The 19,758-nt window shown below is 40.7% G+C and overlaps 1 protein-coding gene across 9 annotated transcripts in view; it reads right to left on the reverse strand.

Moving 5' to 3' along the window:
- FRMD3 (FERM domain containing 3) overlaps positions 1-19,758 on the reverse strand; it is a 342,803-nt gene that overhangs the window by 114,551 nt on the left and 208,494 nt on the right. For all 9 annotated transcript variants that reach the window (NM_001244959.2, XM_024447487.2, XM_047423155.1 and 6 more), the window contains one exon: positions 15,371-15,413. In NM_001244959.2, coding sequence (NP_001231888.1) covers positions 15,371-15,413 — 43 coding nt within the window. The remainder of the gene's footprint in view (positions 1-15,370; positions 15,414-19,758) is intronic.

Here is a 19,758-nt window from a genome sequence, read left to right on the forward strand (position 1 = left end):
AATAGTGTAAAAGTGTTCCCTTTTCACCACACCTATGCCAACATTTATTATTTTTTTATTTTTAATTATGGCCATTCTTGCAGTAGTAACGTATCACATTGTGGTTTTTATTTGCATTTCTCTGATCATTAGTGATGTTGAGCATTTTCTCACATGTTTGTTGCCCATTTGTATATCTTCTTTTGAGAATGGTCTATTCATGTCCTTAGCCCACTTTTTGATGGGATTGCTTGTTTTTTTCTTGCTGATTTGTTGGAGTTCTTTGTAGATTCTGGATATTAGTCCTTTGTCAAATGTATAGATTGTGAAGATTGTCTCCCACTCTGTGGGTTGTCTGTTAACTCTGCTGATTATTTATTTTTTGTGCAGGAGTTTTTCAGCTTAATTAAGTCCCATATATTTATGTTTGTTTTTGTTGCACTTGCTTTTGGGTTTTTGGTCATGGAGTCTTTGCCTAACCCAATGTCTAGAAGGGTTTATCCCATGTTATCCAATGCTACCTTCTAGAATCTTAATGGTTTCAGGTCTTAGATTTAAGTCTTTGATCCATCTTGAGTTGATTTTTGTATAAGGTGAGAGATGAGGATCCAGTTTCATTCTTCTATATGTGGCTTGCCAATTATCCCAGAACCATTTGTTGAACAGGGTGTCCTTTCCCCACTTTACGTTTTTGTTTGCTTTGTTGATCAGTTGGCTGTAAGTATTTGGCTTTATTTCTTGGTTTTCTATTCTGTTCCATTGGTCTATGTGCCTATTTTTATACCAGTACCATGCTGTTTGGTGACTATGACCTTATAGTATATAGTTTGAAGTCGGGTAATGTGATGCCTCCAGATTTTTTCTTTTTGCATAGTCTTGCTTTGTCTATGTGGGCTCTTTTTTGGTTCCATATGGTTTTTAGAATTGTTTTTTCTAGTTATGTGAAGAATGATGGTGGTATTTTGACGGGAATTACACTGAATTTGTAAATTGCCTTCGGCAGTATGGTCATTTTCACAATATTGATTCCATCCATCCATGAGCATGGGATGTGTTTCCGTTTGTTTGTGTTGTCTATGATTTCTTTCAGCAGTGTTTTGTAGTTTCCCTTGTAGAGGTCTTTCACCTCCTTGGTTAGGTATATTCTTAAGTATTTATTTATTTATTTATTTATTTATTTATTTATTTATTTGTAGCTATTGTGAAAGGGATTGAGTTCTTGATTTTATTCTCAGCTTGGTCACTGTTGCCTATATTCCTGTTGTGCACATGCCATGCACAGTGATGCCAATGGATTCAACTGTGCTGCATTCAATAATGATATGGTTCGAAAGCACAAACTACCTCTGCACATATGCAAAATGACGCTTGAGCACCTAAAGGGGAGAACATTGCTCACTCATTCTCCAACTGTGACTCTAGAAATATGTGTAAATAAGCCAGCCACAGAGAGTGCAGGCTGCATTCATGACTGCTCTCTTCTACATGGAAATGATTATAATCATTAAACAACAACTGTTACTATCAGCATCATCAGCAACAGTGATGATCCTTCCCCCACTCTTACTGAAATGATAATCACTGTGTTTCCCCAGCTTCCAAAGCAGAGACAGGTTTTTAAAATCATGTTTAATTCATCTTCCTCTCGTTACAGTTCCCTCCTATGCTTTTATCACACACAGGCATGCCCACCCACACTCGTAGGCACTGACTACAGTCACTCAGAGAACTCTCTTAAGGGAGATTGGAATGCTGAGTGGTTGCCTCACAAATCCTTGGTCTCTGAATTCTCTTCCTGCCTATGCCTGCTCAGGAGAAGCTTGAAAAGAGACTTTGGGGTCCCATACTTCTAACCTCAAGTTTGTCATTTGAACAAATTGCTGCGTCCAAACTTAAAACTCCCTGCCTCCATTTCCTCATCTGTAAAATGGGAATAATAATGGAACCAACCACAGAGAGCAGGGCATCAAACTTTCTCTGTAAAGGGCTAGAGAATAAATATTTTCAACTTTGGAAGGCTCGAGTTTTCTGTCTCAACGACTCCACCCAGTTGTTGTAGTAGAGAAGCAGCCACCACCAATACATAAACAAGTGTGTATAGCTGTGCTCCAATAAAACACTGAAGTTTGAATTTGTATCATTTTTGTATGCCACAAAAATCTTATATATCTTTTGGTTTTTTTCAACCATTTAAAAATGTGAAACCTATTCCTAGACCAAAGGCCATATGAACATAGGTGGTGACTAGGTGTGGCCTGCGACCCGTCGTAGAGACCACAATGAGGATGACATGAGTTCATGACTGCGTAGAGACCACAATGAGGATGACATGAGTTCATGACTGCAAAGCACTTCGCAGCCTGCTGAGACCTGTGGACTGAATGCATAGGAATTATTGTTACTCTAAAGTGCAGGGAAGAAACCAACATGGCTAAAGTCAAGTCCTTCAATGTTACCTTGCCTTTTACCTGGGTTGAAAGAGTGAGGGGGCACTGTCATCTCTCAGGGAGGAGTGAGGAAGAAGTGGGCATGAGACAGGTGTGTATATGAAGAGATATTTGGCAGCCCTGGCATCTAAAGGACAGCTTTGCTGCCTGAGCCGAGGGTACAATGACCTAAACATTTTAGCCAAAAGGTTAGCAAGAACACATGAAACTGAAGGCAAGAGACCCAGGAACCTGTTTGCTGCTGATGTTGTATAACTAGCCAGACCCTTGGAGTCATGTTGATAGGTGTAAATCAATATGTAGAAATAACAACTGTAACAGAAAAATTCAACTACTTACATAACTTGGTATTGAGATTTGATACTATAAAGTTGCATCCAAAAATCAGGCATTATAAAGGCTCTCCCACCAAAGGGAGACATGAACAAAGCCTTCCTACCCACTTGGCCCACACTTGAACCACCTCTAGTACTCACATACCGAGCATGGAACCTCCTGCCCATCATGGTTATCATTCAGACACTCATGCTGCCAGCATGTGTAGTTTTGAGTCGTGTGGGCCCCTAAGAAAGAATGCGGGCATTCCTGAAGGAAGAAGAAAGCCCCTGAAAGTACTGCCCCAGAGATATAAGGACTTCCCCCAGGAGAGGCTCCTATTCCTTCTGCTTCCTCCACTACCCCTGTCACACTACCCCGCTTCCCACGAGGAGTGCTAGGTACTCCCTGAAACCCCTGCACACACTACTGCACCCAATCAAAATGATGTCAGTGTTGCCACCAACCATTGCATAAGCATAAAGTTAAAAATTAGAAATCTATGGCTTGTCAAGTGTGCACATCATTTAGAACTGCATGCTATAAAATTAAGGGTTTTTGTCATTACTATTGTTACTGTCCTCTCCTTCCATATTGGGAAACAAAGAAAGAGCACAACATGGAAACCATTTATAGGCTCAAATTGCATTAACTTTCTGGGAGAAGGATCAAATATAAAAATTTTGATGAACAGTTGAACTTGGTAGAATAACAGATACCTGGCCCAACCTAATGAGCTGTCTCTAGAACAAGGTAAGCAAACAGGTGTCCAACGCTGGAGACACTCCATGGCTGAAACAAAAATCATAGCTGCTCTTCTTGGAAAGAAGCTTTGGAAGAAGAAAACTGGGAAGAACAAAGGCATCCAAAACTAAACCATAGTACTTGGGGACTTTGTACTTTTTGATTTATGTAATGAGCTGTGTTCAGTTGTATGTTTTGCTTTTTTTTGTAAAAAAATAGCATTTGAACTTCCACCTGTGCTGTAAAAAGAGCATTTTAATCCTAGTCAGAAAGCATTTATTATGAATCAATAACATGCATAACATTTTATACAAAGCCATGGAACAGGTGAAGAAATTTTCCAAACCCAGTGCTGGAGATTATGATTAGACAAGTAGGTTATACGAATGAGGATGATAGCATAGGCTGCCCCTCACTCTGGAGGCAGGGTTACAGCCACAACAGGGATTGGAAGAAATGAATTGTGCAAAGCTTTACTGTCAAAAGCATGTGACCAAGGTCAGCAAAACAGAACAACATACACAAAGGGGGCTAGAGGTAGTAAGCTAAAGAAAGAGGCTAAAGAAAAATGCTGAGAGTACTGGAGATCTAAAAAACCCATGTCCACCTAGAACCTCAGAATGGAACCCTATTTGGAAATAGGGTCTTTGTAGATGTAATTGATTAATTAATTACAATGCATTCATATTAGGTTAGGGTGGTCCCTAAATCCATTGACTGATATCTTTATAAGAGAAAGGAGAGTGAGACTTTGACACAGGGCACAGAGAAACATAGGGAGGCACCATGTGAAGATGGAGGCAGAGTGTGGAGTGAGGCAGCTACAAGCCAAGGAAGGCCAAGGACTGCAGGAAACCAGCAGAAGCCAGAAAAGGCAGGAAGCATTCTTCCCTAGAGCCTTCGGAGGGAGCATGGCCCTGCTGACAACTTGGTTTCAGACTTCTGGCCTCCAGAACTGTGAGCAAGTAGATTTCTATTGTTTTAAGCCACCCAGTATGTGATAATTTATTATGGATGCCCAGAGAAACTAACACACTCAGCAAGGGGAAAACTGGAAGAACAAGTAGAGTTGAGAGTCAATCATCCAAGCTGGCCTCATGAGTATGAGACCTGTGGCTTTACACCAGAGCAAAATCGATGCTGTTGGTTCTCTCTCTCTCTCTCTCTCTCTCTCTCTCTCTCAATCTCAATCTCAATTTCCTATTGACAAAAAATCATTCATTAGCAAGAGAGCTATTTGTTAGATTAGCCCCAAGGGGGATGTTGGAAAGCTAATGAATGAGACATAAACATGAAGTACCAAGACTATCACCATCAAAGTCAGGAATTCCACACCATCCCAGGTTTCCAGGGAGTGCCATCACAACTTCTGAGCACCACTGTCATCAGCCAGCAACAACTTGACTCAGTACTGCTATTATGGCTGAGTTGTATGCATGTGTTATGCAGAGGCTGGGGGTTCCTGCCTACCCTGATTTGCATGCAGAAGCCATTTCCAAGCACCCCTGCCCCTTCAGGGTGCTTGGGAGCAGCACAGTCTCTGGTAAATAGGGCAAGAATAGGATCTTAACTACCTTGCTGTGCTAATCAGGCCTCAGACAGGCACCAGCCAGGATTAAGTGGAGAGCTTGTTTAGAAGAGTAAGTGAGCTTTCTTTCATCTCAGTCTGTTTCTATAGAACATGCTTAATGCATATGCATCCTGCTTCCTTCCTTCCTTCTCTCCTTCCTTCCTTCTCTCCTTCCTTCCTTATTTCCTTCCCTCCTTCCTTCCTTTTTCCTTCCTTCCCTCCCTCCTTCCTTCCCTCCCTCCTTCCTTCCCTCCCTCCTTCCTTCCCTCCCTCCTTCCTTCCCTCCCTCCTTCCTTCCCTCCTTCCTCCCTTTCTTTCCTCCTTCCTTCCTTTCCTCCCTACTTCCTTGCTTTCTTTCTTCCTTCCTTCCTTTCCTCCCTCCTTCCTTCCTTTCTTCCTTCCTTCTCTACTTCCTTCCCTCCTTCCTCCCTTCCTTCCTTGTTTTGCATAAAGATTTCTCTCCTTTTGCTTATTTTATTTTTATTACCAAGTCATATAAGAATATATTCTCATGGTAAAAGATATGAGTGTAACATAACTACATATAATAAAATGCGAAAGCCTCATGTCCCTATATTATGCTCTCTTCCCCAGAGGTAACCACAGTTAAGTATACATCTTTCCAGTTCTTCTTCTACACGCTATATAGTCACATGAAAAAATTCTATTTTTATATAAAAGTATCATTATTTACGTGGTCTTTTAATCTGATTTTTAAACTCAACAATATGTCTATAAGTCTTTCCATGTCAATAATACATGTCTGCCTGTTTTTCTAATGACTATGTATACACACATAATTTATCCTTGCAAAAATTACTGGCCTTTTTATTGCTTTCTCAGTGTTATAAGCAATGCTGTAATAAACACCCTTGCATAATATATACCTGTGCGTGAATAAATTTTGCTCTAGATAGATTTGTAGAAATTGATTTGCTGGACCAAGAGACATAGGCTTTTTTTTTTTTTTTTTTTTGAGACGGAGTCTCGCTGTCGCCCAGGCTGGAGTGCAGTGGCGCGATCTTGGCTCACTGCAGGCTCCGCCCCCCGGGGTTCACGCCATTCTCCTGCCTCAGCCTCCTGAGTAGCTGGGACTACAGGCGCCCGCCACCTCGCCCGGCTAATTTTTTGTATTTTTAGTAGAGACGGGGTTTCACCATGTTAGCCAGGATGGTCTCGATCTCCTGACCTCGTGATCCGCCCACCTTGGCCTCCCAAAGTACTGGGATTACAGGCGTGAGTCACTGCGCCCGGCTGAGACATAGGCATTTTTAATCTTGAAAGATATAACCAGATTACTCTCCAAAGTGGCTTTATCAGTTTACACACTCTCACCAGAAGTGTTATCCTCATCCTCATCACCTGGATATTATCAATAATTACAATTTTCTCAGTATAGTAAATAAAAATATCTTATTCTAATTTGCATTTCCTTTGTAGCTAATGATATTGAGCATCTGTTTGTGAGCTTCTTGGTCATTTATTTTTATTCCTTCTCTGAGTCTTTTGCATATTTTTATATTGAGCCGTTCATCTGTTGGTTTGTAGCATCAAACATAATACATTCTGCATATTACTACTCGTTATATGTTTGGCAAATGTTCTTCCCATTATTTTCCCTGTGCTTTAATTTGCTTTACAGTCATTCATTCAACAAATATTTACTAAGAATCTACTCTGGCTGGGCACGGTGGCTCACGCCTGTAATCCCAGCACTCTGGGAGACTGAGGCGGGGGCGTCACAAGGTCAAGAGATCGAGACCATCCTGGCCTACATGGCAAAACCCCGTATCTTCTAAAAATACAAAAATTAGCTGGGCACAGTACACGCGCCTGTAGTCCCAGCTACTCAGGAGGCTGAGGCAGGAGAATTGCTTGAACCCTGGAGGCGGAGGTTGCAGTGAGCCAAGATCACACCACTGCACGCCAGCCTGGTGACAGAGCAAGACCCCATCTCCAAAAAAAAAAAAAAATCAACTCTGTGCAAACAAACAAAGCATTCTAGTTCAAAAGTTTAGCTTTTGCACAAATTTGTCAGGATTTTGCTTCATTGTTTCTGGGTTTTATATTTTCCTCAGGAAGCCCTGGGCTACCCCATGATTATAAAACATATTCTTAAATTTTTACCTAAAACTTTTATAAATTGTTAAACATATTTGGCTTTTGAGTACATCTAGAATTAATCCTGTGAATTGTGTGAGCGATGTCCTTTTTCCCATCCGCCAACAAGTGGAAAGAAAACAATCCAAAAATCATGCCTTAAAAGAATGCCTTGAATAAAAATTTATCTGCCCCTTGTATGTATGAAATACAATCTTTACCATAGCCCATATTCTATAAATAATGGATTGGCGTGGGGAATGGGAACTGCTTTTTTCTGTTCCACTGATTATTTTCACATTTCTGGCTCTATATCTTAATTACTATATGTGTCTCTTACTATGTCTCCTTTAATTGCTATAGCTCACAGGCCTTGGTATACTATTCAACAGAACAAGGACCCACCAGTGGTCTTTTTATATATTTACTGGATAGCATCGAGCATGTTTCTTTTGCAAATGAGTCTTAAGAACATTGTTAAATGCCGTAAAGAATCTCATTGAATTTTTAATTTGAGAATTATTGAATGTATATATTAATTTCCAAAGAACTGACTTTATTAAGAATATTAACCAAAATATGAGATGTCTTCATTTTTTGAGCTCTTTTTTATCTACTCTACAACAATGCTACAGTAGGATTTCACATTTTCGTCCTACTGATCTTGCATGAATCTGTTAACATTTATTTATAAGACATTTATTTTTACTTGTTATTGTTACTGTAAATAATAGTACTTTTTCCCCATTACATTTGAAAAACAGTTAGTGCTTGTGTATAAGGCAGCTATTGTTTTAGGATATTAATCTCGTATCCAAAGAGAAAAGGCATTCGTTGTGCATAGGGCATGGCTAGGGAAGGCAAGTGGAGAGATTTACAGAGGACAAAAGCCAGTTTAGGACACCATTTGGATCTCTGAGAAGGATCCAGCATCCCTCAACACTACCGGCTTGGCTGAACACAGTGAGGTGTAGGGGGCAAGATAAAAGGAACCCCAGGGTAGTTGCAGGAAACTCTTCTGTGTGGAACTCTGAAAATTTTACTGACATTTTTGTACTGAAGAAATGGTGGCATGGTGTGTTTAGGCAGAGAGGAAGCCTTAGATAGCGTACACAAGTTTCCCTGAGGCTGAGCAGTTCCTGCCTGTCCCAGAGGTGAATACAGATGTGCTGAGTGCCAATGAGAAAGAGACTTGGAGTGGAGGCCACAAGAGGACAGTGTCTAGAGACTTGCATCCTAAGGCCATGGCAGGAACCACTGGCCTCAGCAGCACACACCAACCCCACTCAAAGGTCAGGTGGGACCAGTTTCGTCCAGACAGGATGCAGTGGGGAAAGATGCCAACAACCTGAGACACACCAAGGAAGACTCAAGGAATGTACATGAGAGAGAGGTCACCCTCACTACCGAGACAGTACTTAAGTTTCTCTGGCCTTATGATGCCATTCTGGGGTGGAGAGAAAGGGAAAAGCTCTTCATATGGAAGAAAAAAAAACAGTATGGAGTATGGGTTTTCAAGCAATTACATTTAAATTATGTATTGACTGAGCGATTTTCTGAAAGTGATCAAATTCAACACTAGGAGATCCTAGGCCAGGTGCTGTGGCTCTCGCCTGTAATCCCAGCACTTTGGGAGGCTGAGGTGGGAGGATCACCTGAGTTCAGAAGTTCAAGGCTAGCCTGACCAACATGATGAAACCCCATCTCTACTAAAAATACAAAAAAGTTATCCAGGCATGGTGGCAGGTGCCTGTAATCCCAGCTACTCAGGAAGCTGAGGCAGGAGAATTGCTTGAACCCAGGAGGCGGAGGTTGCAGTGAGCTGAGATTGTGCCATTGTACTCCAGCCTGGGCAACAAGAGCAAATCTCTGTCTCAAAAAACAAAAACAAAAAATAAACTAGCAGATCCTGAGTTACCCTGAAGTGACAAGATTAAATGCTTTGCTCTCAAAGAAAGAAGAAAATCACAAGCAAGTTGAATTCAGTCATAGGAAAATAATATTGCATTTCTGCACATCTGAGTCATAGTGTGTAACTTTAAAAGTTTTTTCATGCTAATATAATTTGAGCAGCTACAAAAATCCTGTAGAACATACAACATCTGTCCTCTTGATGTGTGCCACTTCATGTATACACATTGGGCCACATTCCACAGTTATGTAGTCAAGGCTAAAAACTCTAAGTGATAGCAGGGTGTGGTAGCATGTGCCTGTAATCCCAGCTATTCAGGAGGCTGAGGCACAAGAATCGCTTGAACTCAGGAGGCGGAGGTTGCAGTGAGCCAAGATCATGCCACTGCACTCCAGCCTGGTTGACAGAATGAAGCTCTGTCTCAAAAAACAAAAAAAAAATTATAAGTGAGAAGTCACTGTTATGTTGCATAGCAACATTCCTTCATGAAAAGCAAGGACTCTGCAAAACCAAACATTCAAAAATATGCAATTCAGTTAACACTTTGTTTGAAGGCAATCTGTTATCCGAGTACTCTTAAAGAAACAAAAAATGGATCAACATCTCAGTCCACATTTGTACCTATGGACATGGCAATGGCATAGGGAAATGAGAAGGGTATTCCCTCAGCACTGCCCAATCATGAAGCCCACCTGCATTTTCACCTAATAGAAAAGCAATAATTAAAAGTTTGATTTTAAGGTTCTAATTCCAGGTAGAGTGGGTTAATTGCAACCCACCCCATCTCTTTCCCTGAATGCAGCTATAAAACCTGGCAGAATACATGCAGCAACTATTTAAGGACTCTGAAAAGTAAATAGTAGCAAGCAGATGGGAAAAGAAGATGAGAATGCAAAGGACCCCGCTAAACTAGTGGTAAATTCACCACGATTTTCCCTCCAGTATCCTCTGGACAGAACCCAGGAGACATCTGGAAGTGAGCATCAGCTCCTAAAGAGAATACTCCAGAAGATATTCCTAATTAAGGCTTGAGGAATAGAAAAGGAAGTGCTGGCTGCAACAGTAGGAACAGCAAATGTGCTGGAGATTTCTTTTCTGGAAAATCTCAAGCCTAATTTATTTAATAGTTATAATACTACTCAAGTTATATATTTTATTTTGGGTGAGTTTTGGTAAGTCATGGCTTTTGAGGAAGAGATCTATTTCATCTAAGCAATCAAATTTCTGTGCCTAGAGTTGTTCTGCAGGATCTGTAGTAATGTCCCTTCATTTGCTCCTGATATTGGTAATTTGTGTCTTCTCCCTCTTTTTTTCCTCTCCTCCATTTTGCTAAAAATTCATCAATTTTCTTGATATTTTCAAAGACTAGCTTCTACTTCCATTGTGTTCTTCTATTATATATTGATAAACACAGCAACTTGGGTGAATCTCAGAGTTATTATCCTGAGTAAAAGCTGATCTCAAAAATTACATCCTGTATGATATTGAAAAAAGAAAACTATACTGGCATGAAACAGACCAGTGGTTGCGAGTTGTTGGAAGGCAGTGATGTCACCACAAAGGCACAGCACAGGCAGGTTTTTGGGGTGATGAAAACCAGGACACTGTTCAGCATCCTGTCTATGTTTGTGGTCATGAAAATCTATATGAGCAAAGGCTCACAGAACTGCACACAAAAATCAAGTCAATTTTACCATATGTTAATATATTTTTTATTTTATTTTATTTTATTATTTTTCTGAGACAGAGTCTCACTCTGTCACCCAGGCTGGACTGCAGTGGCACGATCTCGGCTCACTGCAAGCTCCGCCTCCTGGGTTCACGCCATTCTCCTGCCTCAGCCTCCCGAGTAGCTGGGACTACAGGCTATGTTAATTTAAAAATTAAAATATTAGCATCTCTTCTAAGTTCAGAGGAGAAATAAGACTTTGATTTAAGAAACATCTTAATGTAAAAATGTATACCAAATTAAGTAACTGTGTAATTAATTAGCTTTTCAATTAAACAGACATTTCTCTTCCTTCATAAACTTGAAAAATAAATTTAATTATCCCTATTTTCAACAAGTTTTGGGGAAAGAAGCATTCTCACGTAACATTTGAGGGAGTCAGATTGTGTCACTTGTGTCATTAGATTTTTTGTAACATTTTGTGTCATTAGATTTAAATGGCTAAAAGCTCCTTGACTAGATATTTATCACCAAGGAAATTTAAAATGTATATATCTTTAGATCTACTTATTCTATTTCTAGGAATTTTTTTTTTAAACAGAGTTCGTTTTTGTTGCCCAGGCTGGAGTGCAGTGGCACCAACTCGGCTCACTTCAACCTCCAACTCCCTGGTTCAAGCGATTCTCCTGCCTCAGCCTCCCGAGGAGCTGGGATTACAGGCACGTTCCACCACACCCAGCTAATTTTTGTATTATTAGTAGAGACAGGGTTTCACCATGTTGGCCAGGATGGTCTCGATCTCCTGACCTCGTAATGCACCCACTTCGGCCACCCAAAGTGCTGGGATTACAGGCATGAGCCATGACACCTGGCCCATTTCTAGGAATTTTTAGCACAGATGTACTTTCACAAAATGCAGTACTGTATACAGCATGTTTATTGCAGTACACTTTACAATAGCAAAATACCAGAAGCCACCAAAACCACCTTGATCTCCCTTAATAAATACATTATAGGCCGGGCACAGTGGCTCACACCTGTAATCCCAGTTCTTTGGGAGGCCAAAATGGGTGGATCACCTGAGGTCAGGAGTTCAAGACCAGCCTGGCCAATATGGCAAAACCCTGTCTCTACTAAAAATACAAAAATTAGCTGGGTGCGGTGGCACGTGCCTGTAATCCCAGCTACTCAGGGAGGCTGAGGCAGGAGAAGAGATTGAACCAGGGAGGCAGAGGTTGCAGTGAGCCAAGATCACAAGATGGCACTGTAGCCTGGATGACAGAGTGAGACTCTGTCTCAAAATAAATAAATAAATAAATAAATAAATAAATAAATAAATAAATAAAATACACACATACAATTAACTCAGAAAACCACCTTTTAAATCAGGCCAATCATCAATTATGGATATTTTTAAATTTCTAAAATTAATCAAGAAAAAATAACAAGATGAAGAAAAATATATAGAGATTGATCTCACTGCTGTTTATCAAAGGACTTATATATGTTGGGGGCTTATATACATTCATAAAAATTCTTGGAAGGATATACAAAATATTGTTTGCAATTGTTATTTCTTTGGGGTGAGCTTGATATAGAGGGAGGAGCAAGGAAATAGTTTTTGTCTTCATTTTAAATCTTTCTAAACTGAGAAAACACAAACATGATTTTTTTTTAACTAGTGAAAAATAATAACGCCATGTTTGTTAATCAGGATAGCTGACCTTCAGCCAACCCTGGGAAACATCATTCCTGGGAACATCCATAGTCAGAAGGATCTTAATAGGGTCAGAGAGAAGAACCTGAAGGCCTATCATCCTCTGTGAGTAAGAAACAGTTCCTCCAAGGAATTCTGCAGCCATTGCCTACTGAAAGGTGATACGAGCATAAAAGGATGAAGCCACTGGGGCTCTGTGACCAGACTCTTTCGATAAATTCATGGACAAGTCCCCAGGGTTGGACTTGGTTTCTCTGGATTAACAATATAAAAGCCATAGTTTAAAAATTTTCTAATTTACAGTAAAGTTAATATTTCTAGGGCATATGTACAAGAACACAGAAATTCTTCATACTGAAAGACATCATCAACAACAACAATCACACTAGGTTTGTGATCTTGAGAAAATTACATAATTTTTTTGTTCGGTAATGTCTTTAGCAATACAACAGGGATTGGGTGGTGGGTAAGACCCTTGCAGTCCTAGAATCAGTGAGTTTCCCTGTCTGGTTCAGACACTGAATTTTATACAATTCTATTTTCCAGATTCAGATTTCATTTGTCATTAGATTAAGACTGGCCAGTAGTCAAATGCCAATCTTTACACCATTCTAATAAGACATTATGTGTTTTAGGGTGGGTGCAGTGGCTCACTCCTGAAATCCCAACACTTTGGGAGGCAGAGGCAGGCAGATCACCTAAGATCAGAAGTTCGAGACCAGCCTGGCCAACATGGTGAAACCCGGTCTCTACTAAAAATACAAAAATTAGCCAGGCACGGTAGTGCACGCCCGTAGTTCTAGCTATCTGGGAGGCTGAGGCACAAGAATCACTTGAACCTGGGAGGTGAGATTGCAGTGAGCCAAGATTGCACCACTGCACTAAAGCCTGGTGACAGAATGAGACCCTGTCTTAAAAAAAAATTATGCATTTTAGTTGGTTGTTCAGATTTGCTGTATTATAGAGAAAATGCTCTTAAACGCTAAATTTCTCACAAGTTTTAAACTTCTCACAAAGTTTATTTTTTTGCTTCTATTAAGTATTGAAATGCCTTCAAAGATAAATTTCTATTTCAAAACTGGGTATGGCTTAAGAACAAAAGGAAAATATTGCATGGCATTTATTTAATAAGAACCAAAGTCAAAGAACCATTTGTTATACTGAAAAATAGTCTAAATATTTTCAAATATATAAACAAAAATATCAATATTTTGTAGTTAAGGAATAAAAGCTAGGAATCAGCAATTTTTTTCTCAGGCATTTTAGCTCATTCTCATTATCCTGCATATCATACTATATAGCCTCCTGGGACCCCTGTCTTATTACTTTTTTTTTTTTTTAAACGGAGTCCTGGTCTGTGGCCCAGGCTGGAATGCAGTGGCATGATCTCTGCTCACTGCAACCTCTACCTCCTGAGTTCAAGCGATTCTCCTGCCTCAGCCTCCTGAGTAGCTGGGACTACAGGCAACCACCACCACACCCAGCTAATTTTTGTATTTTTAGTAAAGACGGGGTTTTACCATGTTGGCCAGGATGGTCTCAATCTCTTGACCTCCTGATCCGCCTGCCTCACGCCTCCTAAAGTGCTGGGATTACAGGCGTGAGCCTGGCCCGTCCTATTATTTCTATCTGGATGCACATCCCAACTCTCTTCCGCTCTTGCCCCAATTCTGCTCCAGCCCCACCCCAACTCTGTTCCAGCCTTGCTCCAGCAGCCTGGCCTCCCTGGACTTTCCACACCCACTGCTGCACTTGTGCAATCTGAACCATCCTTCCTCACTAACCAGACAGAGTTTGCCCTTGAAGGATGGAAGAGGGAGGGGAAGGAAAAGAAAAGGACCAAGGGAAGGAGGAATGGGAAGGGAGGAAGAGAGGGAGAAAGGGACAGGGAGGCAGGGAAAAAGAAGAAAGTTAAAGAAGAGATACGCTGCCTGCTAGTTTGTCGTCCATGTTCAGTTTCTTCCTTCTTTCACCTGAAAACCCTGCCCAGAACAATTTCTTCATATTCAAAAAATGAAAGAATCCCTTGAATGACGACAAGTGACATAATATGCATTAACCTAATCTCTGACGAGAAACTGATTCATCACCTGCATTTCAGAGCCCTGGGAAAGTGGACGTGGAGGGATAAGTGGATTTGGGGGCAGGCAGTAAGTTTCTGAGGTGCATTTCAGAAGTTCTCCTCCAAACCATAAATAAAAGCAGGTTGGCTACAGCCTGGCATGAGTGACCAGAACAAAACATCATGTCACCCAGGACTACCAGTGAACACCCTCCTCACAGGGTCCCAGGTGGATGACCAGGGGGTGCTAGAGAGATGTTGTTATCCAAGCCAACTTCCCCAAGAGCTCACTGGTTAAAAAGAGAGAGAGACGAAAAAAAAAAAAAAAAGAAGTTCAGAACATCGGAGATTTAAAACAATTGCCTAGAAGAAAAAATTGTTTTTCATTTTGGGGAGTTCAAGGAATGGAAAATAATGATACAGTCTTCAGCAAAGTCATTGGTAAAATTTTAGTTTCCAAACACATCTGCTTCTCCCATCTTCCTTAATACTGCACCCCCTCCCACACTTAATGACTAACCAGCAACCCTCATAATCAAAAGGAACCAGGTACCTGGTGGCTGTGTTTAAGAGGTATTTAACCATCCAATTCCAAAGCCCCTGCTCAGATATCAAATATGAGGGCAAGATGGGGGGGAGGGAGAGAGGCCCAGGAGACTATAGGATGCTGGTGCAGACGAGGGTCATAGAAAAAGAGGGGAGAAAATACAGAGCTCTCCTGGGGAGAGAGAAGCCCCCACACCCCCCAACACCTCTTCAACTCTATTATTCCCCTGGCAGGAGAAAGTTTGTCAGGGAACAGTATCTATCTTTGGACACATTGTAGCAAAAGTAAAGTCACAGATTGACACTTACTTTTCATTTGCTTGAAGATGGACTTGTTAGGTTCAAGCCAGTGCTAGGGAGGAAAAAAAAAAAAGCAGAGATCAGGGGTCAAATTGCTGGACCATACAACGAATACCTAATAACTAAAAGGAATTCCAAAGTACAGCCTCGGTTTCCATAGATACTCTCCAGAATTCCACACTCTGAAGACCAACATAAACAACTTGGCAATAATCATAGCGCAGACAAGGATATAAATTACAGAGTTAACATTTTCCAAGTAATATGTGAGTCAGACAGTTGCTAGGAGAGAAGGACAAGAGAGAGAATATGCTCTCAAATGGGATGTTCTAGTACCCCTAATTGACTCCTAGGTGATTCTTTGAGCTGCATGGTTCTGTGAAAGCCGCATATGGCTAAAGACTTTTAGCATTTGACATCCACGACCTCAAAGAATCACAGTCCAAGGCAGCATCAGCATCCAGTCCTGCTTCCGGGACAAATTCCCTTAAGAGGAATATTGGGCCAAGCCAGCATTAGCCCTATCATATGCAGAGGCAATTCTTCCTTTACAGTAGGGAGGAGTAAATGATCTTAAATATCTCATTTTCAGAGGCCTGAGGTCATCAAGAAGAAAAATCAGCTCTATCACAAAATAAAGAAGCCAAAAGACTGGGGGAGTTCAGAACCATGTTACTGACAGGCATTTGAAGTAGGCACCACGCTGGTCCCAGTGGCTGGCCCTCTCTACAGCACATACAAAGATCACTTCGACATGCTGAGAGCTGGGCAGCTTTTGAGATCACTAACCATGAGGTCCCTGAAGCTGCTCAGGGAATGTCACTTAGAGTCACTTTATACACCTGTAGTTTAGAGATGATACAGGGGGTGTCCTGGGGTACCCATCCTGAGGTCAGGGAGCTCTCCTTCTGGAGGCATCCCACCTGCTTGATGCCGGAGAGGAAATCAGAAGAGCAAATTTACCGTCCATTGAGCTCTTGCACCTCACTCTATCTCCTTTGTGTTATCCAGTAAGCCTCAGGTCCTGTGTTATCCATATTCTTTGATGTAAATGCATAACCATAATAAGAGCTGGCATTTGCTGAGCGCTTACTAAACGCCAAGTGCCGTTCAAACATTTCCATGTGCTATCTTATGTAGTCCTCCCTACCACTCCACTTACAAATAAGAAGCCTGGGGCTCAGGATGTTAAACAGCTTGACTAAGGTCACTCTGCTGATAAACAGTGAAGCCAACCATGCAGCAGGATTCTGGTGCATGGGCCCTTAACCTCTCAACTGTATGGCCTCCTGGCTGATCATTTGCTCTAAAATGCATATTCTTCTCGGTGAGCACTCCCTACTTTCTCAGGAGCTGAAAAACTGAATCGTCAAATTAGTGGTTTCTAATCTAGAAACCACTGAGGGTGTCAAATCTCTGCAGTCTTCAAAAACAATAATGGGAGTCTTATAAGAGTTTCAACATTATGGAAAGTCACACACACAAAAAAACATATATTTACCCCGACCAGGTTGCACAGACAAACTGAAAAAACAAGTCTTTTTGCTTCTGGCTAAAATTATATCAACTCATTTGAGGACCCTCGTTATTGCCTTCTAATTAGAAGTTATATAGCTATAACTGAACAGTGGAAGACACATTGATTATACCACTTACCAGTTATAAACCTTGTACAAGATGCTTAATCTCTCTGTGTCTCAGTTTCCTCGACTATAAAATGGGAACAGTAATCACATCCACCTCTTAGGGCCATTGCGAGGATTTAAAAAGTTAACAAATGTAATATACACAGTGCATGAAATGTGAAAATACTCAATAAAATGATTGTTGGCCGATGCAGTTCTTATTATTTAATAGGTACAGTTTAATTGGTAGACCGCATCTTTCAATATATGTGCTTCATGGAGAAGAAGAATAAAAGAGGCCCCTGGTGGTTAAATTACTTTTCTAGAAATAAATAAATAGGATCATTTAGAACTAAGGTAAGAAAACAAATAGCAGCAAAATATCAATACTTACTGCAATTGTTTTGCAGAGGAGAATCACCAGTTATTTTGCTAATAAAGTCTGAAATATAAATATGTTTTCCAAATTCTCCTTGTTTGGCATTCTTTCAACTCCTCGGCCCTTTCTTGCCTAACTTGATCCTGCTTCTCCAACTTGTCTCTGACTCCAGGGGTGACAAGTCAGTTTCATTTTGTGTGCCCACACCAGGGCTGTGAGGAGGATTCCAAAACCAGGTGCAGGCTCTGAGAGAATGAGTGCCATGATGGATTGGCTATGTCTGCCATGCCACTATAGATTGGCGATGTCTGCCACGGAGGAGACAGGGAACATGTAAGGCATGCCTGAAAGGTATTTGCCATCTGTGTCCTAAATAAGTTATTTACTCTAAATAAACTGGCCTCCTTATTGTCCTAAGAAACACACCTTGCAGTTTCAGATCAGTTTCTATCATCCTTTTCCTCTTAGCCTAACCACACCCTACATTTGCCTTTCAGGCCTGGTGTATCTCAGTTACCCACTTCTACAAGGTGATCTCTACACACTTTTCCAGAACAGCTATTCTTCCCCAAAGGGAGAGTCATGAGGTATGCAGTCCTAGGAAAAATAAGCCAGCAATAATGTTTCAAGGAATTACAGGAAATCATTTCTTCAAAGAGGGCCAAGTTCAACTTGTTAGTATTCATTAAACTGCTAACACAGAAACAGAAAACCAAATACCAATACCACATGTTCTCACTTATAAATGGGAGCTAATGATGAGAATACATGGGCACATAGAGGGGAACAACACACACTGGGGCCTATCAGAGGGTGGAGGGTGGGAGGAGGGACAGGATCAGGCAAAATAACTAATGGGAACTAGGCTTAATACCTGTGTGATGAAATAATCTGTACAACAAACCCCTATGACAAAAGTTTACCTATATAACAAACCTGCACATGTACCCCTAACTTAAAAGTTAAAAAAGACCGGGCGCAGTGGCTCACACCTGTAATCCCAACATTTTGGGAGGCCAAGGTGGGTGGACCGCCTGAGGTCAGGAGTTCGAGACCAGCCTGGCCAACATGGTGAAACCCCATCTCTACTAAAAATACAAAAATTAGCCTGGCGTGGTGGCAGGTGCCTGTAATCCCAGCTTCTCGGGAGGCTGAGACAGGAGAATCGCTTGAACCCAGGAGGCAAAGGTTGCAGTGAGCCAAGATGGCGCCATTGCACTCCAGCCTGGGCCACAAGAGCAAGATTCTGTTTAAAAAAAAAAAAAAAAGTTAAAAAAAAAAACCACCTGACAGGTCCATGGCCCAGTAAGTTCTTTATTCTCCAACTTACCCATGTGGACAAAGAGGTACCCAACAAGAATCTTCACTGCAATATTATATAAAATTACAAAATATTAGAAATAACATTAATGGCCATCATCAGGAAAATGGGTAAATAGACTGTGATCTGTTCATATTCTGGATGATTCTGCAGCAGTGTTTTCTATGAGGGAGATCTTTATGTGTAACATGGACAGATCTCTAAGGCATATTGTGGGATACAAAAAGTGAACTGAAAAATTTATCATTATACCTGCAATCAGTTCTCAAATTGTGCACTAAGTCACCCCAGAGAAACACAGCCACAGTAGACATCAGTCAGCGCCATGTGAATTATGAACTCAAAGGAGTACACAGTTCCAACATTAGATTGTGCTATATTCCTTTTTTTTTTTTTTTTGGCAGGGCTTTCTATGTTGCCCAGGCTTGTCTCAAAAGCCTGGGCTCAAGCAATCCTCCCACCTTGGTCTCCCAAAGTGCTAGGATTACAGGCATGAGCCACCACACCTGGCTGTGCTATATTCCTTTTGATATTATATGTATATATGGTATCAAATATGTATATTTGATAAAATATATACATATATTTTGCAAAGCTTGGTTTCTAGCAGTTGCTGTGATAATAGGCAAGTACCACATAGAAATAGGTGTGCAACAAGCAATGAGCATGGTAGTGTGTCCAATATGATCCTAGGGGTGCCCAACCGGCACCCGTTATTAAGAAATTGTGGTTGTTTAAGAATGAAATGAAAATACTATTTTTTCTGCAATTTATATGTATAATGTCTTACATAACTACTAAAATTTTAGGACATAACTACTTGCTTGGATCTAACTCTTATTAGATGAAACTGTTAGGTATTCTCCTGGCCTATGGAGGCCATGAAATAATCACTAAGATACTAAGAGACAGCCAGAAATTGGGAAAGTTTGGGAGGCTTTGAACTACTTTACCATATCTTTAATATGTTTTCTTTCAAAATAAAAAATATAAACATTATCATACATTCAAAAAATATATATGTAAGCATCTAAATATATTTGTAAAGATCCGAAATGATACACAGTAAAAT

The sequence above is a fragment of the Homo sapiens genome, chromosome 9 (assembly GCF_000001405.40).
Source record: "Homo sapiens chromosome 9, GRCh38.p14 Primary Assembly".
NCBI classification, from domain to species: domain Eukaryota; kingdom Metazoa; phylum Chordata; class Mammalia; order Primates; family Hominidae; genus Homo; species Homo sapiens.